Genomic DNA, 27431 nt, shown 5'->3' with positions numbered 1-27431 from the left:
AAGATTCCTGGGATATAAGACAAACTGATTCTTGCCTGAAATTTACATTAGATGTAATATAAACTAAAATACTAAGAAAAATTATTTGTATACCTGCTTTGTTTCTAAAGGTACCTTACATTAAGCTAAATAGCATTAATTAAAATAGCTGGGGAAGACGTAAAAATAAAAACAAAAATATTTTTCCTTACTAGTAAAGTCTAAATTCATTTCTGTGTAACTCAGAAGTCAATATAAACAATTTGCATCATTAAATACTGAAAGCAAACAATTTTATTAACAAATCAGAGTGCTATCATGCAGTAAGAGATGCTAAGGTGCTCATATACTCACGACTCCCAACATCCTCTACAAAAGTCATGTCCACAGGGCATATCCACAGGGTCTTCAAATACAGAGATACTGCACATACAAATGTCACACTGGAGATGAAGAAGAACAATGATTTAAACAGAAATGTACTTCTGAAAGAGAACAATACATTTTGTTTACTTTTTTAAAAGGCAAAAATACTAGTACAGTAATTAAAAGTTTTTGAAAGTTACCTCTTTCAAAGTTTTAAGGACAGTTAGTGTGCCTTTCAGTAACAAATACCATGACTACCTCACTATAAATAAAAGTGGGATTTAAATGTTTTAATGCAAAAATCAAACCCTTAAATTCCAAATTTATGTATTAATCAGCAACTGTGCGTTTGGAAAACGAAGTACAAGAAACAAATCATTTGGGCCAACATCAAATTACATGTTGCAAAAAACCACTTCAGTATCATGCCCTTCACATTACACCTACCCTTCAAAATCTATGAAAACAGAGTAACTTTGTATTTTTAATGCAGCAACTCAAGATATCCACACTTTCCAGGGAGAGAACCCTGCTATAAAACTAAGTATTAGGCCGGGCGCGGTGGCTCACACCTGTAATCCCAGCACTTTGCGAGGCCGAGGTGGGCAGATCACTTGAGGTCAGGAGTTCAAGACCAGCCTGACCAACATGGTGAAACCCTGTCTCTACCAAAAATACAAAAATTAGCTGGGTGTGGTGGTGCATGTCTGTAATCCCAGCTACTCAGGAGGCTGAGGCAGGAGAATCACCTGAATCTGGGAGGTGGAGGTTGCAGGGAGCCGAGGTCATGCCATTACACTCCAGCCTCGGCAACAAGAGTGAAACTCCGTCTCAAAAAAAAAAAAAAAAAAAAAAAAAAAACCAAAAACACAAAACAACAACAAAAAACCCACCTATGTATTAAAACTATGCCATTTTAATAGCAAAAGCTGCAATCACTTTTGCGCCTACCTAGTATCTTCTAAACAATAGCTCTCTAGAAGCAAAATTTATCACGTTACATATGCAAATTACAGGATTCTGTTTTCCAAAAAGGCACAGATAAAATGAGAAGCACTTTCATATTTATCACATATTTTGAGTGGCTGAGTCATTCAAGAAATATTAAAATCTCCTATAGTAGCACACCAATGATATGCCAGTTAAAAATGCTGACAATGGCAGTACTGTTTCATAAAATAATAAAACACTTATTTTGGAAATGCATCTAGATAACAAACTCCAGAAGCTTTACTGAAACAAATACATAACTATCAATATATTGTAAATGCTTAAAAATTACCTTTCAAGAAATTATAAAAAATGTTTTTGTATTTTCGGTTTACAGTGCCCATCACAAACTTATCTTTTTATATTTCAATATGATGTATATATGTGTGTATGTATTTTGAGATGGGGTCTGGCTATGTTGCCCAGGCTAGTCTTGAACTCCTGAGCTCAGGCAATCCACCCACCTTGGCCTCCCAAAGTGCTAGGATTATAGGCATGAGCTACTTACTGTGCCTGGCCTGTATTTAAATCATTAAGCAACTGAAGTTTTAAGGGAAAATAAAATAGATGGTTTCCCTAAACTGTTTTAAGTTCTCTGTTTGGAAATGAGGAAAGAAAACCTTTTTTTTTCAATCTATAATTCAGAGATCACAAAAACATTCTGTAATAATAAATATTTACTGAAGCATGGAAATAACCGAACCTTTCAAGAAAGGGATAGGATTCAATTACAAGAACACAACCAGACACTCCATGGAACAATATTAAATCATTTGAATGTTAAAAGACTATAAACAAAGCTATGAGAAGTACAGTGAATACCAAACCATACCAAACTGGTGTCTAAATCCCCAGGAGATAAGCTGATTTCATCTGGGGAGGTGACAGAAGAGCGTGTAGTCCTTGGAGTTCTTGGAGATGGGAGCGTGTCCCAGGCATTATACCCACTTGGTGGTGGAGTTGGCATTTGAACACCTGATCGTTGGCAGCAGTTCTCCGGGTTGGACATCCAAGCTTCAAGTAATTTCTCCCTGTCCCAGTCTTAAAGAAAAATGGAATGGATAGCTCTCAAAAAAGAAAATATGGTAATGTTATAAAAGCTATATAATAACAAAAATATGAGAATTACAAATTTTGGTCATCTAAAGAAAAAAGTATATAAAAGTAGTAACTGCAAATGAATGTCTAGGTATGTTCTTGTTATTAGCGTTTTTACACAAAATTTAAGCTTTCATAATTGATCATGGCTTACAACCATGTCAAGATCTAGCAGTATGGTCAAAATTTCCAGTACTTTCTACTAACAATCAAAACAGGTCACTCACAAATCACTCTTGGAATTCACTACATTTTCGCTGGCATAGGTTTAATTTAGCTTCTTTACTCTTTCCAAAAGTATATATAATTTTTTAACTGTCCTCACTGGCATCAAGTTGTAAAATGATTACATAGTTCACTATAGATATGTCAAAATGCCAATTACAGGTCCTAAAAATCATTTAATAAACAGCTTGAAAGCAGAAGAAACTTCCGAAGAAATTAGAGTTATAAATAAAGTTTTAGTGAATTAGGTATAAATTCTATATTAAGTGATCTTGAACCTGGCTTAACTAAAAAAAATTATCTTCCTACTGTGAACATTTTAAAAATTGCCAAGTAAAACATACTATAATGTCTAGAGCCATAAAAACCTAACCCTTTAAAAACAACAAACTAATACATTCAATTACTTTGCTAGGTGTTTTACATAATTTCATTTATTCCTCCCAGCAAACTTTTCAATTATTATTTAGGCGAAGAAATCAAGACTGAAGGAAGTTATATAACTTGTCCAAGCTCACACAGAGATTTGAAACCAATTTCTGTGATTCCAAAGGCTGTGTTCGTCCCATGATCACACACTATTTCTGAGAAGACTAAAGGGTAAATTATTCACTGTAGGCACATTCTATAAAATTTTATAGCTTAAATACAAATAACTGGAAATTTTCTACACGAGGTTTTTTTTTTTCAACTATATTAAGCCGATGTATTTGGCAGTTTAACAGGATAAATATGACTTTGACATGCAATGAAAATAGAAGGAGTATATTTCCAGGTAGGGAAAATAAACAAGTACGTATATAAATATAGATGCTCCTTGACTTACGATGGGGTTAAGTCCTGATAAATCCACTGTAAACTGAAAATATGATAAGTTGAAAATGTGTGGTTAACTAGGAGCTATGGCTCACTACTGTCGCCCAGCATCTCAAGAGTAGTATGGTTTCTACTGAATGCATATTGAGTTAGCACCATTATAAGTCAAAAAATTGTAAGTCAAACCATCCTAAGTCAGGGACTATCTGTGTATATACAGAGTTTTTCTGGTGATTATTTTACATAGGTAGAATATCATATAAACTTTATCTCCTTTTCCCACTTAATCAACTGGAAAATCTCTCCAAGTAAACTTATTTAACATTATTTCCTTCTTTTTAATGACTACATATTAATCCACTGTGTGAAACAATTTGTGTATCATGATTTATTCAAATATCCCCCTACTTTGTTTACAGTTTTTTTTTTTTTGCCACAACGAGGTTGCAATCTGCATCAGTGCAGTTATAAGTATATATTCATGTTTATATTGGTATTTCCTTGGTATAAATTCCCTGGAATGAGACTAATGAGTCTAAGGCCCATTGTGTTTTTAAAAGAAAATGCTAGATGGCTTTCCAAAAAGGTTATGACAAATTTTTTTTTTTTTTTTTTTGAGACAGGGTCTCGCTTTGTCACCCAGGCTGGAGTGCAACGGCATGATCTTGGCTCACTGCAGCCTCTGCCTCCTGGGTTCAAGAGATTCTCGTGCCTCAGCCTCCCAAATAGCTGGGACTACAGGCATGTGCCACCACTCCAGGCTAAGTTTTATACATATTTTTTAGTAGAGACAGGGTTTCACCATGTTGCCCAGGCTGGTCTCAAACTCCCGACCTCAAGTGATCTGCCCACCTCGGCCTCACAAAGTGCTGGGATTACAGGCATGAGCCACCAAGCCTGGCAGGTTATAACAGTTTTTACTTCTGTCAGCAATGAGGAACCTTACCAGTTTCTTCTACAGCAATGGGTGTTACAGTTCTTTTAAACATTTATAAACTTATAGTTCACTGTTATTTTAATTTGCATTTTCTTCACAATGGATGTATTCAAACATTGTTTGATGTGTTTGTTGGCCATTTGGACGTGCTCTTCTATGAATTACCTATCCATATCTTTTCACCATTTTGGCACTGGGGTATTTACCAATTTCTTGTCAATTTAAAGAAGGCTTTTGTATACAATAAACATTAGCTAATATTGTTTCCAAATCAAAATTATGTTTCCTGACTTTGTTTATGGTATACTTACAACAAAAATTTAAAAATCCAGTATACTTTAATATGTCTATCTCTTCTTTAGCTTTCTTGTCTTAGAAACTCAGAGGTTTTTCTCTGTCCTTAGATTTACATGTAAGTCTCCTAGACAAATTGATGAATTGACTTTATATCCCTCATCCTTTTTTTTTCTTGGTATTCCAATGGCCAGTCATATTAGGGCCATTTAATGAATTATATATCCTTTCCCCACTGATCTATAATGTCATCTTTACATAAATTATATTCCCAAATACTGTAAATTGGATTTACTATTCTGTTTCAATGGTCTATTTGTCTAGATTTGAACAAGTGCCATGCTGACTGAATTACAGTGGCTTACAGCGTGTTCTCTTTTCTGGTAAGGCTAATTCCTTTCACTGGAACTGAATGAGCACACCTGATCTCTGTGACCCTCAGGAAACTGAGGAAGAGCTGAACAGGTAGTCTTACTTAGACCCAAGGTTGGGCTCAGAGTTCAGAGAAACAGCTGCAGAAAGACAGCTGGATTACAGAGAATCAGGATTAGCACAAAAGATTTCTTGGGACAAACAAAGCCATCATTTAAAAAAAAATTCAGTGGCCAAATAAAGAGAATGGTCCCATTTGAGACACAAATTAATGTTCTTTAAGGCCAAGGGAGAAAAAACACTTCAAAGGAAAAGTAAAGAAAACACTTACCAAAAAAACTAGAATTTTCTGATTAAGATAATACATGTAATTGAGCCATCATTAAAAAAAAAAACCCTACAACCAACCAAACTCAAGAAAAGGAAGAAGGTGATAAAGGCAAAGTAGAAATTAAATGTTAGAAACTATTGATAGAAAAAATGATAGACAACCTATAAACTGCAAGAAAAAAAGACAAAAATCTAAGAACTAAAAATAAAAACCAAGGCAATCGGGAAAACTCAGCGTATACACATTGAAATTGAAAATAAGATACAGCTATATGTAGAGAGAAAATTAAAAGAACTGTGACAAAATGCAATGTCTTTCAAACTGTAAACTTATTTAAGGGCAGAGCTTGTACCTATATTGCAATCGATTTTATCTCCATTACTCAGCCTAGTGCCTAGTTCAAAGTGTATATTCAATAGAAATCTGTTGAACGAACAAATGAATATAAAACCACATGCTCCTATTATTTAAATCTAACTGAAGTAGATAATATTCCAGGAAATTGTAAATGATTACAGCTGAAGAACTCATGAAAAGGTAGTAATTCTAAGCAGACTAATAACATTGGGAGAAACTGAAGAATACAGTAATTATTTATTTAAAAAGTATAGGGTTCACATGGTTTCATAAGCAAACTTTAAAAAATTTTTGGCCAGGTGCGGTGGCTCACGCCTGTAATCCCAGCACTTTGGGAGGCCAAGGCGGGCGGATCACCAGGTCAGGAGATCAAGACCATCCTGGCTAACACAGTGAAACCCCATCGCTACTAAAAATACAAAAAAATTAGCCAGGCGTGGTGGCAGGTGCCTGTTGTCCCAGCTACTCGGGAGGCTGAGGCAGGAGAATGGCATGAACCCAGGAGATGGAGCTTGCAGTGAGCAGAGATAGTGCCACTACACTCTAGCCTAGGTGACAGAGCAAGACTCAGTCTCAAAAAAAAAAAAAAAAAAAGAAAATTCAAGTAGAAATTAATTCTTGTGTCCTTGCATAAGCATAAAGAAAAAAGGAAGATTCATATAAATATATATATATATATATATATATATATATATATATATTTTTTTTTTTTTTTTTTTTTTTGAGATGGAGTCTCACTCTGTCGCCCAGGCTGGAGTGCAGTGGTGCGATCTCAGCTCACTGCAACCTCTGCCTCCCAGGTTCAAGCAATTCTCCTGCCTCAGCCTCCCAAGTAGCTGGGACTACAGGCGCCCACCACCACGCCCAGCTAATTTTTGTATTTTTAGTAGAGATGGGGTTTCACCATGTTGGCCAGGCTGGTCTTGAACTCCTGACCTCAGGTTATCTGCCCGCCTTGGCCTCCCAAAGTGCTGGGATTACAGGCATGAGCCACCACACCCGGCCAAGTCACATAGATATTTTTAAAAAGCTATTATAAAAACCTGAAATGCCAAAACCTAACCTTATTTATAAAGCAAATCTTGACATTATCAGCACAAATAACTGGACATGTAAAATGCAGAATTATTAAAAACAATTATATACACATAACTCAAACATTTAATAAAACATATATATTAATTTCCTAATCTTTTTTTAATTTTTATTTTTTTTTGAGGCAAAGTCTAGCTCTGTCACCCAGCCTAGAGTGCAGTGGGGCGATCAATGGCTCACTGCAGCCTTGGCTTCCTGGGTTCAAGTGATCCTCCTACCTCAGCCTCCTGAGTAGCTGGGACTTACAGGCATATGCCACCATGCCCAGATTTTTTTTTTTTTTTAATTTTTTTGTAGAGACAAGGTCTCACTATGTTGCCCAAGTATGTCTGGAACTCCTGAGCTCAGGTGATCTTCTCGCCTTGGCTCCCCAAGTGCTAAAATTACAGACCTGAGCCACTACACCTAGCCTTAATAATCTTTTTTATGTAGGGCCAAGCCCTTTTCTTTGACTTATCGTTCTCCTTCTATTTCCTATTTCTTGCCTAAACTACACCCACAAAACATTATCCATTTCTCATTGTTATTTTCTTAGATTAAGATTTAAAACACATTCAGATAGCAATATGAATGTAAAGGCCTAGATTTTTATGATCTCCTCCCTTTTTTTCAGTTATTTCACTCACGCATAATTTAGTCAGAAAAATTTTAAAATGAACTTGCCTTTATCAAGGCTTTCCAAAGCCTCCAACTTAGATTTCAATAAATAACTATTTACTCATATTTTATCAGTACCATTCCATTATATTATGTAATTACAACAAGGTGTACAACTGAGATAATCAGGTTTGTTAATTGGCATGTAATTCAAGCCAGGTGCATGGCAATTCTGAAAAGGAGCCCCCTAGACAGAAGCATTCAGTCTGTTTGACAAAGAGAATCCTGAAAGTTAAGTTGATGTGGGTTAAGACAGCATTTACTGTATTATAATGTCAAAATATACATAAAATGTCATTAATAGGAAATGAAATATGCATAACATATACCCCAAGCCCAAGTATGCCTTATTCCTGGAATATAAGAACAGCTGAACATTAGGAAAGAAATTTATAATACCAATGTATCAAAGAAGAAAATCAGTATTATCATTTTTAAAAAAGATCTGGAAAAAGTAAGACAATCTAAAAAATTACTCCTGAATTTTTAAAAAGAGAGCTCTTAAATAGTAAGAAAAAGATACTGTTTTAACACGATAAACAGAATCTCTTTCAAACCAATAGCCTAATTCTTAATTTAAAACACAAAAGCCATTCTCAGAATTTCAATTATCTATTCACTGATGCATTGCAACAATCTATTTCCTGCTTAAATGATTCTGAGCTCTAGACAACTTCTCCATTTGGAATTCTCAAAGTTTACTGCTTAGTACACAGTAAAGGACGAATTGGTGACTGAATGAATTTCCACTTAAGCCAAGAAAATAATAAGCATCACTTATAATGTTACATAGGAGTGCTAGCCAATGTAATTAAACCAGATAAAAGATATGGGAAAGCTGCAGGAACAATTATCATTATTTACAAATGATAGGATAGCCCTCCTGGTAATCTTAAGAAAACCATAAGGGAAACTGAATATAACAGAGTTCTACTTCTGATAAAGGTAAAGTAGCTACTATCAGACCAACTCTCCTACAGATAACAGCTACAAATATTGGACAAAATATAAACCACAACTATCTGAGGACACTAGAGAGCAACCAAAAGCAGGCAGAAATTGGAGGGGAGTTAATGTCTGACAAAATGAAAAAGCACTGTTTGAGTTTCTATTTGTACAAGTTTTTCTCTGTGGGCAGACAACATTTGGCACAACGACAGAAACTTGAAATTTTACTAGCTTAAGAACCTGAGATTAGATTCAGGGTGACCAGAGCACTTTGGACATGAGGGAGGATATCCTAGAAAGGAGAGAGCCACAGGAAGCACAGATTCTGGATATAGACTCTCCAAATCTCAAACTGAAGCCTACATATAATGCCTACAGCAATATACTCTAATTGTCTAAGATCCAATTCCAAATTACTAGACATGTGGAAAAACTGGAAAATGTCAGAAAATGCAACAGTGGACACCAACCTTGAGGTAATCCATATATTGGAATTAGTAATCACCATGGATTTAAATAACTTTATGATCAAGAACATAAAGAAAAATAGTTTGTAAAGTACAAAAGGCCAGGAAAACTAAGTAAATAAATGAAAGCCATAAAAAAGAACCGAGTGTAAATTCTAGAACTGAAAAACAATTCTAAAAAAAAAAATTTTTACTGTGTTGGCTTAACAGCAGTTTAGAGGAGATAAAAAAGAGATCAGAGGGAAAATTTGGTGAACTTGGAGACAGAAATGATCCAATCTGAAGAACAGAGAAAAAAGATAGTTTATTTAAAATACATATGGCTGATTAAAGCAAAAATTATGACACTGCATTGTGATATTTATGATTATGTACTATAATAATGATAGCATAAGGGATGGGGCAATGTACATACATAGTTGCAAGATTCTTACATTTTATGGGAAGTGGTACTACACTAATGCTAAATAGACTATAAAATGATAAGAATATATACAACAGCCCAGAAAGCAGCATGTTAAAGAATAAAATGCAAAGAAGAATTAGCTAAAAACCCAACAGATAATTAAAACCAAATGCCAAGATTATTCAACTAATTCAAAATACAGCAGAGAAGGAGGAACAGAGAACAAAAAATAAAGAGACAAACAGAAAACAAACAAACAGTGAAATGGAAGACCTAAATCCAACCACAACAATATTACATTAAATGTAAATGGACTAAACAGTCCATCAGAATGGATAAAGAACTGAACCAAATGCTATTTACAAGATATTCAAATAGCATAAAAAAGCCAAAGTGCTATATTAGTATCAGATAAAGAAAAAATAGTAAAAAAAGATAAGGGACATTTCATGGTGAGAAAAGAGTCAGAAAGACATAATTATAAATGTATATGAGCCTAATATGAGAGTTTCAAAATAGATTAAGCAAATTGACACCATTAAGGAGGAGCTATATACAAATCCACATTCATAAATAGAAATTTTAACATCCCTCTCTCATCAACTGATGGAACTAGTCTTTAATTTTTATTAGTAAAAACAAGTACAATTTAAAGAACACTACTGACCTTAATTAACATTTATAGAACACTATGATGAACAACTTCACAATTACATCCTTGTCAAATGCACATGATATAGTCATCAAGACAGACTACATGCTTAAACAAGCCTCAACAAATTTCAAAAGACTGAAATCTTAACCAGTAAAACTGAAGTGAAAACAATAAAACATCCAGAAAAATCTCAAATATTTGAAAATTAGACTATATTATTCTAAATAACAGATGAGGCAATGGAGAAAGAGAAATTTTAAAATATTTTAAAATGAATGATAAAGAAAATACAACATACAAACTTTTGGCCTCAATAGAAAAAAAAGTAAAAAAGATATGAATGACAAATCACAAAAAGAAATACAAATGTCCAGGAAACATGAAAATACATTGGACTTTACTTTAAATAAGAAATGTACAGTTTTAATTAAGAGCATATTGTTTGAACTTGTAATTTTACTGCTAAAAATTCACCCTAAGTAAATTAATGGATAGGCACACAAGGGCATATTTGAAGGATGCTAATCACAGCACTGTTTACAACAGCAAAAAGAAAAAAATGGTGCAAACAGCAACAGAGTATGGTATGTTTATATAATGAGATTATGTAGTCATATAGCTATTGATATGAAAAGCTTTATATCATGCATTAATTTTTAAAAGTATATTATAAAATATCATATGTAGATTAAGCATACTATTGTTATAAACGTTTTCTCTGTGCCCTATTGGATTTTCATTCACATAGATATTTATTACTTTTAGAGTCATATAAAAATCATGAGAGCCATTTTTAGTTTGAAAATGACAACTACAGAAAAGTTCATTTTTATTTATTTTACTTTGTTCTTCTCTTAATTTATTTTACTATTTGAAAATTATTTTCAAAAATATTTCTTCATACCTAAATCAGGAAACAATTCTTTGTAAGATAATTTTCTAGAATCTGTCTGATAGTATACTACATCTGGAATGCATGTCCCATATGGTTCCTCAAATTTTCTCATTGCTGCCATTCAAAATGTTAGCAATGGGACATAGTACAAAGATTATCCCTTGGAATCAGGAATTCTTGAATTCAAATTCCAGATGTTACTTAACTGAGCAAAGTACAGGATAATTATATGTTACTTATTTAACTGAGCAAAATACAGGATAATTATACCCATTTTGATTCTAACTGTTTTAAGTCTCTGTAATGCATTACAACACATAAGGAATTCAATAATAACAGCATTAAGTACTATTACCTCTTAAAAATTTATCCTTGGAATAAAGTAATCACAAATGAATGCAAGAATGAGTGCCATCTCCCAGATTTGCTTTAGCTTAGCACATCCAAACAATTTTCTTACATATAGTCATTAAAAGTGGTCATTATAATAACTGTTGAAAAATGTTTAGCATGTTATGTGAAGACCTTTAATAAGAATAAATTGGTTACTGTGTTAAAATGTGTCACATATAAAAAATGTGAGGCATATAAAGTAAAAACAACTTTCTTAGGATAGTATTATTTTTCAAAAATTTCCATTATGCTACTTTTTAATAAAAGTAAAAACAACTAATATAACTAAGACAGATAGACATTAAATATGCTACATTTTAGTCTTTTCTACCATATTTTTCAGCAAAATTTGTTTGATTCTATCACATCTGACTCCTTAGCAAATATTTATTGAATACCTTTTATGTCCCATCCACTATGTCAGGTAGCGGGCATACAATGATAGGAAAAACCAGACATAATTCCTTTCCTGTCTCCATGGAACTTACAGTCTAGTAAGGAGAAAGACATGAGTAAAATAAACACGTAAACACCACCAAAAAATCACCACTGTCAGAAACACCATAAAGAGAGGTAGAAAACCGGAGTCAGGGAGGTCAGAGAGGGCATCCCTAGGGAAATGGCATGGAGTGGACATCTAAAGATGAGTGGGAGTTAACCAGATAAAAGGGGAAGGGAAAGACATTCTAGAAAGATAGAATACAGCATGTTCAAAGGCCTGTGGCAGGAGGGAGGGTAACACCCTTGTGAAATTAAAAAGGTCAGTGTAGCTATAGCATGGGACTAGAGGGGAAGCACTGTATGAGATAAGGCTAGAGAAACAGGCAGGGGCTCAGTCATGCAGGATTTTAAAAAAATAAACACTTCCATTTTCAGTTTAGGAGTGATAGGCAGTCAATGAAAAATCGGGACTAGAGATAGGAAGAATAGGTTGTCATGATTAGATTTGATAAGATTATTCTGACTTTCTTCTGTAGTGTAGTTGAGAGGTGATAGCAGCTAGTGGAAATGAAGAAAAAGGGAGAAGTTTAAGATTGGGGAGGTGAAACTGACAATTAAGTGATGACAGGATGGGAGAGGAAATGTCGAAGTTGGTGTTCCAGGTTTCTGCCTCGAATACCCAGTTGGTTGGCTGGTGCTGCCATCTATGGAGTTAGGGAACACCAGAGAACCAGGTTCAGTTCCAAGAACATGATCTTAGTTTTAAACACGATGAGTTTAAGGTAGCTTTGAGATAGACTGGAAGGATTTTCACATAGGCAATTACATACAGTATGAAATATGGAGCTCAGAAGAGAGGTCTAGTCCAGGGGGGAGAAATGTATTATTTCCAAAAGTCTTGGGAGAAGGTAACATTTCCCAGGAAGAGAACAGAATGAGAAGAGAAGATGTGGGAACAGGAATGTTTAATTGCTTGGAAGATGATGAACCTCCAAAGGAGTTAAAAATAATGCTTCAATATAATTTTATTCTAAGCACAAGCAAATTAGCCTGTCACATATTTTGTAAATTATATTCATTTTTTCATTAGGTAATATTCAATTACATAAGTTACTTTTATTACTGGGGAAATACTCAGAAAATGACCTTTGTATTCCTAACATAGTCCTTCTTAAAATTCAACTCCATTTAATAAATACTGCTAAATATTTATGCCGTCTGCTTAATCTACATCAACTTCATTACCTTGGGATTATATTTGATAACACAGTATAATACTCAAAACTATTTTCCTGTATAAAAATGAATGAATGTTTTCAAGGATACAATCTATAAATCTTCCTAATGGTTCAGTTTAATAGCTCTAAAACACAGCCTGTCCTGGCTTTAAGAGCAATTATAGTAAACTGTAGTTATGTGCACTAACTCACAAGCATCACTTATCTCTGTAAATCTTATTTGCTTATCAAATGTCATTGATACCACCTAAACAACAGAGAAGAGATGCTCACTTAAAAACCTGAATTATCCTCTATTTTATGCCCTAATAGGGGAATGAAATACAGAACAATGCTTTTAGTAAGTTATCAATGCCAAGCACGAAAATTCAGTTGGGTTTCATCTTATTGTAAAACAAGTAATTTAGGGAAATATCAATGGAGTAAAAACGGAGTTGATCATTTAATAATATTTAACGATACGATGTGTAAAAAATAGGGATAAAAATGTTTCTTTTAATTATGGTGAAATTATAGGTTGTTAGATTCTATATGATACTATAGCTTAAGAGTTATGAACACTATATGATTTGGCTGAATGTAGAGACTTTTGGCAAAGATGGCTATCTGTACACAAAAATGCTGTAGTGTAGACACTTTTTTTTGTTTGCAGTTAGGTATGGCCACGTGACAGTGAGGTGTGGCCATGTGACTGAATTCTGGTCAATGAATGAAATACGTACAGGAGTGACATATGCCACTTACAGGAGTGGCTCATAAAACTTTCCACAATTGTTCCTTCAGGCTCTTTTCTCTTTCTGACTAGCTGGCTACTGTAACTAGTAGGCCTAGATAATCCCCAGGACAACCTCAGAAGTGATGTTGTTGGCCAGGCATGGTGGCTCATGCCTGTAATCCCAACACTCTGGGAGGCCGAGGCAGGCGGATCACTTGAGGTCAGGAGTTCCAGACCAGCCTGGCCAAACCCCATCTGGTGAAACCCCATCTCTACTAAAAATACAAAAATTAGCCAGGCATGGTGGTGTGCACCTGTAATCCCAGCTACTCGGGAGGCTGAGGCAAGAGAATCGCTTGAACCCAGGAGGCAGAGGTTGCAGTAAGCCAAGATTGTGCTACTGCACTCCAGCCTGGGTTGACAGAGTTAGACTGCCTCAAAAAAAAAAAAAAAAAAGAAGTGATGTTGTTTAAGATGGCAATGTTCCAGTCAGTCACAGTCCCTGACCAGAGTCCACATCCTACCTAATCTAAATGGAAATGCTTTGGACTATTACATGATTAAGAAACGTTTACTGTATTTAATCCTACATTTTTGTTCAGCAGCAGCCTACCCTAACCAGTACAACTATGACGCAGTGGCTCCCCACTGATGAACAGCTTCTACTTTTCTGCCAGCTCTACATTATATTTAAATGCAGACCTTGCATTTTAAAAATCTCAAGCAATGGACAGAGTATACCTTCTGGTGCTATGAACCCTAACATAATGAAACACAATTTAAAGTATTTTGTGTTTCTGTATAAGTTTTTTACATTATGACTATTAAGCATTATTATGGGCTAAAAAGAAAATATTTTGTTTTTTGTTTTTGTTTTTGTTTTGAGACAGAGTCTCGCTCTGTCGTCCAGGCTGGAGTGCAGTAGCACAATCTCCACTCACTGCAAGCTCCACCTCCCGGGTTCACGCCATTCTCCTGCCTCAGCCTCCTAAGTAGCTGGGACTACAGGCGCCCACCACCACGCCCTGCTAATTTTTTGTATTTTTAGTAGAGACGGGGTTTCAGCATGTTAGCCAGGATAGTCTCGATCTCCTGACCTCATGATCCGCCCACCTCGGCCTCCCAAAGTGCTGTGATTACAGGCATGAGCCACTGCGCCCGGCCAAAAATATTTTGTTTTTAAAAACTATTCAGAATTTCTAAATTTAATTTTTTTACTCAGGTCTAAATTTTTTTCTATAGAATTTACTTTGAAGTTTATAAACATGGCAATAAAAAATGTAATTTTACAACAAAAACATTGATTTTCAAAAAATATAAAAAAACATTTTTGGCTTATTATCTATTCATTACAAAACTGTTTTCTGAGTGATTAATATATATTAGGTATTACGGAAACAATACCTAACAATAAAAATTAAAAGCTGCCATTTCAAGTAGCTTCAAGGTTAATATAAAGGAAAAGAAGCAAATAAAGAGATTGTAATTACAATATTGTAATATTCCATTCTAAGTGTATGACACATATATGCATGGAATAAAATAGGAATAGACCCATTATATGGGTCCCAACTGAGACTTCGGAAGACACACTCAGGAAAGGTTTCCTAGAAGAAATGATGTCTAAGGACAATTCGGATTGGTAAAGGGAAAGAAATGGGAAGACTGACAGTCTAGGTAAAGATTATGTCATAAAGTCTACCAAAAATTTTGGATGATTTTAAGTCTGTAGCAAGCCACTGAAGGGTTTTCAGCAGGGGAATGACATGCTCAGGTTTCCATTTTAAAAGAACACAATAGTGGCAGTATGAGAAATTAGTTGGGTGAAAGAAGAATGGTAAAACTGGAGACTAGGACTCTGGGTACTTCAATTTAGATGAAAAGTAATGACAGCCTTAAGTCAGTGGCAGTGGAATTGAAAGAGCTAGGGAGAGTGAAGGGAGGCTGAAAGATAATTAGAAAGAGAAATAATGGGACTGTGGTCAAATATAAGAGAGACAGAGGACTAAAATATGACTTTCAAGTTTCTGGCTAGGAAAATTAGGTGAATATTGCTGCCCACTAATCAATACAATGGGAGAAATGATGAGTCCAGCTGTGATCATCCATAGATTGTGAGAAATAATAGGCTTTTAGAAATACAGTAGAATACTTGATTAAAGTCAGAATGTAGACATAATCTTTATTGTTTAGGTGGTTTTTGAAGCTACTGATTTTATGAGATAAATATGCACAGCAATGTTTCTCAGAGAATGGTCCACTTGGTAGACTTGTTCACAACACATATTTTTGGGCCTTACACTAGACCTAATGACTTAGATTCTCTGGGGTTATTCCTAGGAATCTCCATTTAGTTTCCCAGGCAATTCTTATTTATATTAAAATTTAAGAGCTACAGGTATATAAGGTGGGAAAAGAATGGCAGTTGTAGACTGTCAGAAACATCGATATTGAAGGTAGGCTGGGTGCGGTGACTCACGCCTGTAATCCCAGCACTCTGGGAGGGCGAGGGGGTGGATCACCTAGATTGGGAGTTAGAGACCAGCCTGGCCAACATGATGGAACCTTGTCTCTACTAAAAATACAAAAATTAGCCGGGTGTGGTGGTGTGCACCTGTAATCCCAGCTACTCAGGAGGCTGAGGCATGAGAATTGCTTGAACCTGGAAGGCAGAGGTTGTAGTGAGCCAAGATCACACCACTGCACTCCAGCCTGGGCAACAGAGCAAGACTCTGTCCCAAAAAAAAAAAAAAAGTGTGTTTGTGTGTGTGTATATATATATTATATGTTTTATATATAATATATATATTCCATATATATGTTTTTTTGGTAGTGATTCTGGAGAGTTGTATACCACATTATTAACAGTGGTGATCAATGAATGATAAAATAGGGAGTTTTACATTTTCTTCTGATCAAAAGATTATATAAAAATTTTGGAAGATGGCATTCTATTTTAGTATAGATCATAAAGATTTATAGTTAAAATAGCCAGCTAGGGCCTCAAAATGACTGGAATAGAATAGCCATTTACTTTTCTTTTTAAATGTGTTTTTAGTTTTTATTTTTTAAATCCTGCATTTACCTTTATCTTTTTAAGAATATTTTTAAACCAGAAAATACTTTTCTATGAAACCAGCCAAAATGTCATATATCATGTGGGCAATGAGAAGATCCAATCCAGCATGTGAGAGCTCCCAGAATGCCTGTCATAAGGATTATAGGGAACTTAAACTGAGCACTTAGGAAAATTTTCTTATATAAAGTTAGTTATGTCTAAAAAACAAAACAAAACAAAGAAACAAGAAAACCACCCTTAAAAGGGACAATATATTTCCAAGGTGACCCTTTAACTTCACTTTGTGCACTTCATGGGGAGAAATAGCTACCATATAAAATAAATACAACTGACAATACTAATAGCACAATTCTTAGGTATTTAATTGAACTACCATAATTTTATACTTGAATGACTTCAGCAAAAATTAATGTCAAAACCAGGGCTAGGACTATGGATTTCAATGCTCAATCTCACTCAAATTAGACATATTTCTAAAATTAGACATTCTATAATTTGCTTTAGTAGCTCAATTTCTAAAAAGAATTTTCCAGTGTCTCCTCTTAGATATATGCCAATTTATACTTCAAAATACAAGATGTTATGAGGAACTGAGTATAGAAGTAACAACTGCACAAAACACAACTTAGGCTTTTTTAACAAACCATTTTGTTCTGTATTCAAATACAAAAATAGCCCTTTTAAAAACTCAGAAGTTTCAAAAGTTACTCATGTTCTTAGAAGCATAAGACATTTCTTTCATTACCATGAGCTCGAAGTAAAGCTTCAGCAGTAAAGAGAGGAGCCTGAAGCATGTCTGCAGTTTCCACAATAAGCATATCTTTTAGTCTACGAAGATCCTGAGGCCTTAATCCTTCATATGGCTTTGAAAAGAAAAAAAATAAAGTTAAATGGGCATTATACTCATAGGAAGTTATCAAAATGCCTATAAACAATATATAGTCAGTCCAATGTATCCACGGTTCCACATTCCACGGATTGGATCAACTGTAGATTGAAAACATTTGGGAAAAAAAAAAAGGTTGTGTCTATACTAAACATGCACAGACTTTTCTTCTTGTCATTATTCCTTAAATAACACAGTATAACAACTAATTACATATTATTTGCATTGTACTAGTTAATAACTAACCTAGAGATGATTTAAAGTATATGGGAGGATATGCATAGGTTATATGCAAATACTATACCCCATTTTACATAAGGGACTTGAGTATCTGTGGGTTTTGGTATCCACAAGGGTCCTGAAACCAATCCCCAAGGATACTGAGGGATGACTGTACATGATTATCATTTAAAATCTTCCTATTTAAATTTGGTTATTAAAGTTCAAAAGGCTTTTTTAATGCTCCACTATCATGGACTTCAAACTGCCTTTTCACAAGTCTCTTTCATGCTGCAAAGCAGATACTGGGACTCATGTACCTTATCATTCTAAAAATAAAATATCATAGTATAATGGCAAGACCATCTTATCTTACAGTTTTAAAATTTTGGATTATACAAAAAGTATTAGAAATAAAAACCTATAATTCCACCATTAAGCAATAATCATTATTCAAGTTCTTGGGTATTATTGTCCAGTCTGTTCTTTCTGCAAATCAACTGGGTATGAATATGTATGTTCATTTAGGCACAGTTTTGGGTATTCTATCAATGTAAAAGAAATGGAGCAGAACTTGGTGAATGCCCATAGTCTCAGCTACTAGGGAGGCTGAGAAGTAGGAGGATCACTTGAGCCCAGGAGTTTGATGCTGTAGTGTGCTATAAACATGCCGGTGAATAGCCACTGCAGTCTAGCCTGGGCAACATAGTAAGACCTCATTTTTTTTTTTTAAAGGAAAGTTAACCAAAACTTTTCTATACAGGAATACTATTAAATAAGAGAGAAAGAGGCACTGCAATTTAATCCAAATTATCTTTAGAAAAGCCCCAAACTATTACATACAATTTGCTTTTAAGCTAATTTATGAAACATGAGTTCTCCTACAAAAACCTAATAAACTCTTTAATGGTTAAATTAGTACTACTCATTCTAGTACAGAAGTCATACATTGCTTCTAGAAAATGTATTCCAAATCCAGACTTGGGATTCTGGGTACCTCTCCTTGCCTCAGAAATGACAGTGAATATTTCTTGATATTTCTAATGGTGGCAACTGTGTATTTCCTGGTCTTATATCCTAAATGTTCTTTTTCAGGTTATCCATCATTCGACTTCATTTACGTTGAACCAAATAGGGAGAGAGAAAATGGTGAATTTAATCATGATTCTCCAGATTAGTGTTATCGAGAGAATGACAGTGCAAGTAACTTATAGGGGAAAATTAGCTTTGCTTGCAGTTCTGACATGATATATGTGAAGATTTAATTTTAGGTAAATTAAGAAAGAAGGGATAATATGAAACAATCTGCATAGATCCAGTTTTTTAAAATGCACGCAGTTTTAAACTTCAATAGGTAACAGTGGAAGAAAAATAATTCTTAAAGGACAAAGACATACTGCCTTCATGAACATATATCCACTCTGAATCTTCACAACAGAACTGTAATTAGGTCATGTGAAGCATTTCAACACATTGCTCAGTCCCAAGTGGGCACTACTTTTCTTCTGCAAGACAGATTAAAATGAAAGTACCTTTCTCTTTCCTGTTGCAAAGATAAACTGCTTCCATTTTCAGACTAAACAAACCAGCAATAACCTTCAAAGCAGTCAGTACTGACATAAAGAAAGAAAAAGAAAACTAAATTAAAAAGAAACGTGAATAAAATTACCTCTTTTGCATTAGTGCATACTACTGCTACCAAAAGACCATTGAAAGATTGTGAAACAGCCTATTATACAAACTGCACTACCTTGATATTATCATAAAATAGTTCTCTTCAAAAATTATTTCAGAAAGGCTGTCACATAAAGAAGTTATGAAAGTATTTGTTTTTATTTTTTTCACAAGGAAAATAGCCTCCCCTCCCTATTGGTAAAACATGTTTATTGTTAAAAGAAAAAAAAAAAAGAATAGGCACTTATTTACCCAAAAGTAACTGTAACTGTTAAAAGTTTAAAAGATGTTTAGATGTTCAGGGAGAAAGGATATTTCTAATTCCCTTTAACAGCAATCTCTCATTAGCTGATCCATGAGCTTAGCTTGGGAGGGAGGGTGGAAAAAATAGCCAGGAAAGTTTTTAGGATTCTTTGACCTTTCCCTTCATTTCAGCTTCCTCTCTCCTTATTCAGCAGTTCTTGCCTGGGCATCAAGACCTAGGCTACCCTGAGCTGTACTCTGAAATAACAGAAACCCAGCAGCTTCTGCAGAGAAGAGCAGGTTAAACCTGCTAACTAATGTAGCCAGCAATGTCCAGCATGAGTTTCTTGCCAGAAAAAGAACGTTGAGCCTTTTTAAGTTATATAGACTAAGAGTGGGGAAGGGAAGGATGATTCTTTAGATGGGCTTTCATAGCAGCATATTGCCCACTTTTCCCTCCATACACTCAGATGTAGTCACACAGTCCTGCTCCTACAGAATCTGACCCCAACCTAGGTCTAATACTCGCTAATGTTTCTGTTCTCCCTTTGGTGTTTAAATACATTGAACACACACTCTTCCTAGCCATCACATAAATACCTCATTTAAGAAATCTCTTTATAGCAGTTCCCACTCTCCAAAATTACATGTTCACTTACTTTTAAACTTATTTGTGTGTTTCTCTCTCCCTGTTGGAACGTAAACACCTAGAGTGTAGTCACTTATCTTTGTTCCTCCAAGCATCTAAAACAGTGTCTAGCAGTCACTCAGTTTTGTTGAATGATGGAAATAAGAGGTGGATTTTACCCATTTATAGTTTAATTATTTGAAGGAAAAGACTAAATTAAGAAGTTATAGAAATATACACTGTCCAGATCATTAACTAAATTAAAACTCAGCTGAAATATACATTTCACCTTCAGAACATAAATTTTTAAAAGTAGTTAAACATATGACTTAATATAATCACACAGCAGGCCATGTAAAATCACCAGCATAGGCAAAATAATCCAGAAGTCAACCAGGGTCAAAGTAGAAGGTACAAATATAAGTTTTAAAGAAAGCATTGATGTTTTTAAAAATTCAAGGGGGCCAGGCATGGTGGCTCACGCCTGTAATCCCAGCACTTTGGGAGGCCGAGGTGGGTGGATCACTTGAGGTCACGAGTTCAAGACCAGCATGGTCAACACGGTGAAACCCTGTCTCTACTAAAAATACAAAAATTAGCCAGGTGTGGCAGTGGGCGCCTGTAATCCCAGCTACTTGGGAGGCTCAGGCAGGAGAATGGCTTGAACCTGGGAGGTGGAGGCTCCAGTGAGCTGAGATCGCACTACTGTGCTACAGCCTGGGCAACACAGTGAGACTCTGTCTCAAAAAATAATTTTAAAAAAATTCAGGTAAAACTCATAACATAAAATAAACCACTTTAAGGTGTACAATTCAGCAGCATCTAGAACATTTTCAGTGTTGTACAATCACCACCTTTATCTAGTTTAAAAACATTTCCATCACTCCAAAAGAAAGTCCTATAAACATTAAGCAGTCACTCCTTCTCTTCCCTGCCCCTAGTTCTTGGCATTTTAGTTTTCTCGCTCCTTATTCAGCTGTTCTTGCCTGAGCATCACAGGAAGCCAGCAGCTCCTGCAGAACAGAGTAGGTTAAACCTGCTAACCAGGTAGCCAGCTAAGGCAATGTCCAGCATATGAGTTCTGTTTCTATGGCTTTTATCTGTTTTGGATCTTTCATATAAATGGAATCATTCAAATGTGACCTTTTGTGTCTGGCTTCTCGCACTTAGCATAATGTTTCTGAGGTTGATCCATATTATATATAGTGTGTATTAGTAGTTCATTCCTTTTTATGGCTGAGTAATATTCTATTGTGTGTATATCTCACATCTTGTTTACCCATTCATTAGTTGATAAACGTTTGAGTTGTTTTCACCTTTTGGCTATTACAAATAGTACTGTTATAAACATCCAGGTAATATAGGTATTTACTTGAGTATGAAAGTATTACTCTTTACATTGTGAAAATAGTAGACAAAACAAATCCAATATGGGTTGAAAAAATCTACAAAACTAGAAAAATACAGGGACATGTGATCATAGTATTAGCAAGTCACAAATTCAGAAGACAAAAAGGAAAAAAAGTTATAACTCTGAATACCATATAAGTAAAAAACTTAGGATATGGAAAAATACACAAAGTTCTCTTAGAAAGCATTAAGAAAACAAACTTCATAGAAAATGCACAACTGAACAGTCAATTTACACGATAATCAGAGAAATAAACAAGGTACCATTTATTTGTCCAAACTGGGTAAATAATAACACTGATAATATTCAATGCTAGCAAGAATGTGGAGAAAAAGATTCTCTAATATACTAATGAAATAAAAGTAAATCAATATAATCTTTCCGGACAGCTTAAGAGCATCTGACAAAGTTTAAAATCTTATGGCCCATCAAATCAATTTCTAAAGACATATAGGAACTATACTTTTAAAATGTGTAAACAATGCAATAATGACGACTACGAAGTAATAATCATGATTATAGCAGCAGACAATTAGCTAATGTTGAAAATGAGCCAGGCACTGGTCAAAGCTTATACATATATTAACTCATTAAGGATCACTATAACCTTATGAGGTAGGGACTGTTAACTTCATTTTAAGAAGAGACTGAGGCAGAGAGTTTAAATAATCTGCTCAAGGTCACATAGTAAGTCAGCCATCAGGCAAAGATATGAACTCAGTCTGGCTCTAGAATCTGTATTTTTAACTACAATAATGGCACAATTGGATAAAGAAGATATATATCAGACAAATATTCACTGCAGCCTTGTTTTTAAAGGTAAAAATATATAAATTACTTAGAAGTTTAGCAATAGGTAAATGTTTAAAATATGTAGATTGTATGTTCTGACTTAGGAGAGATGTTCATGATATATTGTTAAGTTGAAAAAATATAGAATACAATATATGACATGATCTTACTTTTGCATTAAAAATTCAATATACATATATGTTTGCTTAAGTCTGGTAGTACACTTAAGAAACTGTTACCACTCGGGGATACAGTCAGGATGAAGAAATTATTTTACATTTTTAGCAATAAATACTCATTATAAATGTCAGGAAATGCATGAAAATAGACAAAATAATAATTGTAAAGGAGATTACCTATAATCATAATGATCATTTTGGTATACTTCAATATTCTTCTTGTACATAGTAGTTTTTCCTATAGAATTAGCATCAAACTTTTCTGTAACTTTTTTCTTAACATAATATTAGTTATATTAAGTCCTTTTAGATATTAAATCTACTGATAATGCCTACTATTATTACCTGATTCAATTATAAATTAAAATAAGATGGTATTTTGGGGAAAAAACTAAATGTCTTGCAGTTTAATTACATCAATATTATTTCTGGAATATTACTGCTTAAATGTCTTCTGACTAAATGACTACACTAATTATTACAGTAAAAATTTCTGTTTGACGCAAGATAATGGATTGTCAAAAAGGAGGCAATATGGCAAACGGAAGTTGTTTGGACCTGAAGTCAGAAGAATCAAGTTCAGCTCACTTTGATTCTGGCAAGTTATTCAGTTATTTTCTAGTTTACTTCCTCACTAAAAAAAGGTGGGGAGGAGAGCACAACTGTCATTCAAGGTTCCCATGTGGATTAAATAACCATGTGAAGGGCCAGCAAAACGCTTAGGGCATAGGCCTTCTGTCTTTCTATGTGTACTTAATCTGAATAAGCTTGCCTATAAAATAACCTAACTACAGAAACAAAGATTTTTTAAAAAGTAAATTTTAATCCCAAGAAACTCAGTTCTTTTGGCCATATGGAGAGTATAAAGCTCCGAAATTGTTGGGAATCCATGGGGAAAATAAACAACACAATTGTATGATTATTTTTCTAAACATGTACAAACCAGTAGTTACATAATACCTTTTAGAATCAAGTTAGCACTAAACACTGAGGAATCAGAATCCTTTTGGGAGGAAAAAATTTACTGTGTTATAATTTCTTTAAGAAATATCTATGGATGCCTGTTTTGTGCAAGTAGTGTTTCAAACACTGAAAACAGTCTGCTGAATAGGCAGATATGGCTCTAGCCTTCATGGAATTGACAGTCTAATAGGAGAGAAAGGCAATAAACAAGTAAACAAAATACATAAAATAATTATAGCATGTGATAGGTCCTATGAAAAATAAACAGGGGGTATAAAGTTTCAGATAAGACAGGAAGAATAGGTTTTGAGATCTATTACACAATGGTGACTTTAGCCAATAATAATGTATTGTATATTTCAAAATAAGAGTACATTTCAAATGTCTCATCTTTAAAAAATGATAGGTGAGTTAGGGATGGATATGTTAATTAGCTTGATTTAATCATTCCACATTGTATATACATATCAAAACACAACACTATACTCCCAAATGTATACAATTATTATTTTTCAATCAAAAATATTAATAAAAAATTTAAAAATTAAAATAAAAAGGGCATACAGTAAAGAATAACGGGAAGAGAGGAGACCTATTTTAGAAAGAACGGCAAAAAATAACTGCGAGATTTCAGACATAGGAAAGAACAACTGCAAATGCCTTGGTGTAGTCTAGGTATTACAATTAGAGCAAAGTGTGCCGGGGAAAAAAGGTCTGAGATAATGCTGGAAAGGTAGGTAGTGGTCAGATCACATAAGGGCTTACAACTGAGCAAACAGTTTGGATTTTATTCTAAGTACAACGAAAAATCATTAAATGATTTAAATGATATGTATAACATTTAAAATGTCATTCTGAATCCTGTGTACAATATGGATTCTAAAGATACAAGAATAGAAGGAAGAAGACCAGTAAGGAAACTATTACAGTAGCTCAGATAAGAAGTGAAGGTGGTGAGGGCTTAGAGAGGTAGGAGTACAGGTTAGGAAGAACAAATGAATTTAGGTTGTATTTTTGGAGGTAAAATTGACAGGATTCCCCAATTGTTTGGATGTGATGATTAAGAAAATGTGAGGAATCAAGAATGCTTCCCCCATTTATGCTTGAGCAACTCAGTGGACAGAGGTAATATTTATTGAGACCGGGAAGACATAAAGGAAAATCAGAAGAGAATGTTGTCCCCAAAGCCAAGAGGAAAGTGTTTCATTAAGAAGGGATTGGTCAATTGCATCAAGTGCCACTGAGGAATTCAAGTAAGATGAGGGCAGAAAAGTACCTACTAAATTTGGCAACATGTCACTCCATGACGGGGGGCAGTTCCATCAGAGTAGAAGGGAAGAAAGTCATACTGCAGTGGGCTAAAGAGTGAATGGAAAGTGAGGAAGTGGTTCTCTCATAAGAAGATGATATGGGGCTACAACTAAAGGGGAAGAGAGACAGGGCTAGGGAAGGGTTGAGTCAATGGCTGCTTTTATGTTTTTTGTTTTGTTTTTAAGATGGGATCTACCAAAGCATGTTTGTTGATATGATCAATCCAAAAGAGAAGGTGAGACTGATGAACAGGAGGACTGGAGTCTTGTAGTAGGAGGAGTAAATGGGATTCATATCTCACATCAGCACCTTATTTATTTGTAAGTAAACACACTCATATATGATAGACAAAAGACCCATAGCTCCAGGTTTCCTAGATGTTATTATTTATTTATTTTTAAAGTTAGAGACAGGGTCTCACTTTGTCGCCAGGCTGGAGTGTCCTGGCATGATCATAGCTCATGGCAGCCTTGAACTCTTGGACTCAAGTGATCCTCTTGCCTCAGCCTCCTGAGTAGTTAGGACAATGAGTGTGGGCCACCATTCCTGGCAAATTTTTAAAATTTTTTGTAGATAGAGTCTTGCTATAGCCCAGGCTGGTCTCAGAACTCCGGTGCCTTGGCCTCCCAAAGCACTGGAACTACAGGCATGAGCCACTGTGGTTGGCCTAGATGTATTTTTATACTTTATGGCTATGAAGATGACAGGATATTTAGAATACTGTAAAGAAGAACACACAAACTGAGTTTTAAAGAAGAAAAATACAAAACAACATAAAATCTAAAATTACATGTAATTTTTTTACTGAGAAGAAAAAATAAACTGACCTCTCGTTTGTCTAATGCAGCATATTCAGCTTCTATTTCTTCAGCCTCGGGATCCCGTGAGAATACCATTTGAGATTCCAGATTGAGGGCCAAATCTTTGTGGTGTTGCTTTTCAGCACAATCACAAGGAGTATCTTTATTTTCATTCTCAGCAAACAAGTCTCCTCCATGTTTTACTAAAAGCTAAAAAAGTTTTTTTTCAAAAACTTGCAACTACAGGTTCAAATAAGTTATTTCATGCTATTTTTAAAACATTAAAAATATAATAAAATTAACACAACAAAAATGCAACAGTATGTACAGTATGTATTTGAAATGACAAAAAAAAAAGGTATTTAGATACCAGTGGCTTCTGATTTTAAGATTAGTAATTCTTGTTTTTCAGTAATGAATGACTTCGTCTTGTTAAAAAATAATTTAAAAAAACCCAAAACCAATTTTTTAAACTTCAGAAATTAAGCATTTTGTGTAGTCCAAAAATAAAATTTGAAAAAGCTTATAGTTACTCAGTACTTTAAATTTTTAAATTTCTTATAATTTCTATAAATCTTTCTTAAACAAGGACACTGCTGATACTGTTAATTTAACTACTAAAGTCTGGATGTCCTGGCATGGCAGACAAAAGTTTCATTCATTATCCAGTGAAACACTGAAATGAAATTAGGATGAGCAAGTCACTGAGGTAAAGCTGTTTTCAATATTCTTCAAAATAAGTAATGGGACTAGCTACTGATAGCCATATTGGGAAGCTAAGTCTATCCATCTCTCTTTGACCCAAAGAAATCCCACCTTTAAAAACACATGGAATAGTAGCTTGACTTGTTTAGTAATGAGGTTTCTGCTAGCTTTGCAGAAATTAAGTATGTTGTTATTAAGGACTGTAGGTTCAAGTTTCCCATTATGTCTGCAAAGATATTAAGAAGGGCATGAATGCCAGGAAAGCCATGTCTAGGACAACTCTAATGGACAGCCTGACAGTCACAGGATTATTTTTGTTTTTGTTTTTGAGACAGAGTTTTGATCTGTCACCCAGACTGGAGTGCAATGGCATGATTCTGGTTCACTGCAACCTGGGTTCAAGTGATTCTCCTGCCTCAGCCTCCCGAGTAGCTGGGATTACAGGCACCCGCCACCACGCCCAGCTAATTTTTGTATTTTTAGTAGAGATGAGGTTTCACTATGTTGCTTAGGCTAGTCTTGAACTCCTGACTTCAGGTGATCCACCCGCCTTGGCCTCCCAAAATACTAGGATTAAAGGTGTGAGCCACCGCGCCCAGCCACAGGATTCTTTTATAGGATTCAGTCATACTCATAATAATATAGTAACAGTCACTATTTATTGTTTTCTAAACACTTTAAAGCACACACTCTCATTTAATATTAACAACCCCATAAAACAGGGGTATTATTGTATCTCAGAATAGTTAAGTAGCTTGATTAACTAAAATTACCCAGCTAGTAAGCAGTAGAACTGGGATTCAGATACAAGTCTGACCAAGTTTTTAACCATGACTGGACACTATACTGACTCGTAAGTAGGTAGA

At 34.7% G+C, this 27431-nt stretch overlaps 1 protein-coding gene across 1 annotated transcript in view; it reads right to left on the bottom strand.

Annotated features, from left to right (window-relative positions):
• The window catches only part of ANKIB1 (ankyrin repeat and IBR domain containing 1), a 155410-nt gene that overhangs the window by 55984 nt on the left and 71995 nt on the right, over positions 1-27431 (bottom strand). Inside the window, exons 4-7 of the mRNA NM_019004.2 lie at positions 25888-26070; positions 17500-17617; positions 2168-2376; positions 334-422 (exon numbers count right to left, since the gene is read on the bottom strand). Of these exons, the coding sequence (NP_061877.1) occupies positions 334-422; positions 2168-2376; positions 17500-17617; positions 25888-26070 (599 nt within the window). The remainder of the gene's footprint in view (positions 1-333; positions 423-2167; positions 2377-17499; positions 17618-25887; positions 26071-27431) is intronic.

The sequence above is a fragment of the Homo sapiens genome, chromosome 7 (assembly GCF_000001405.40).
Source record: "Homo sapiens chromosome 7, GRCh38.p14 Primary Assembly".
NCBI classification, from domain to species: domain Eukaryota; kingdom Metazoa; phylum Chordata; class Mammalia; order Primates; family Hominidae; genus Homo; species Homo sapiens.
This window is presented reverse-complemented; position numbering and strand designations above follow the sequence as displayed.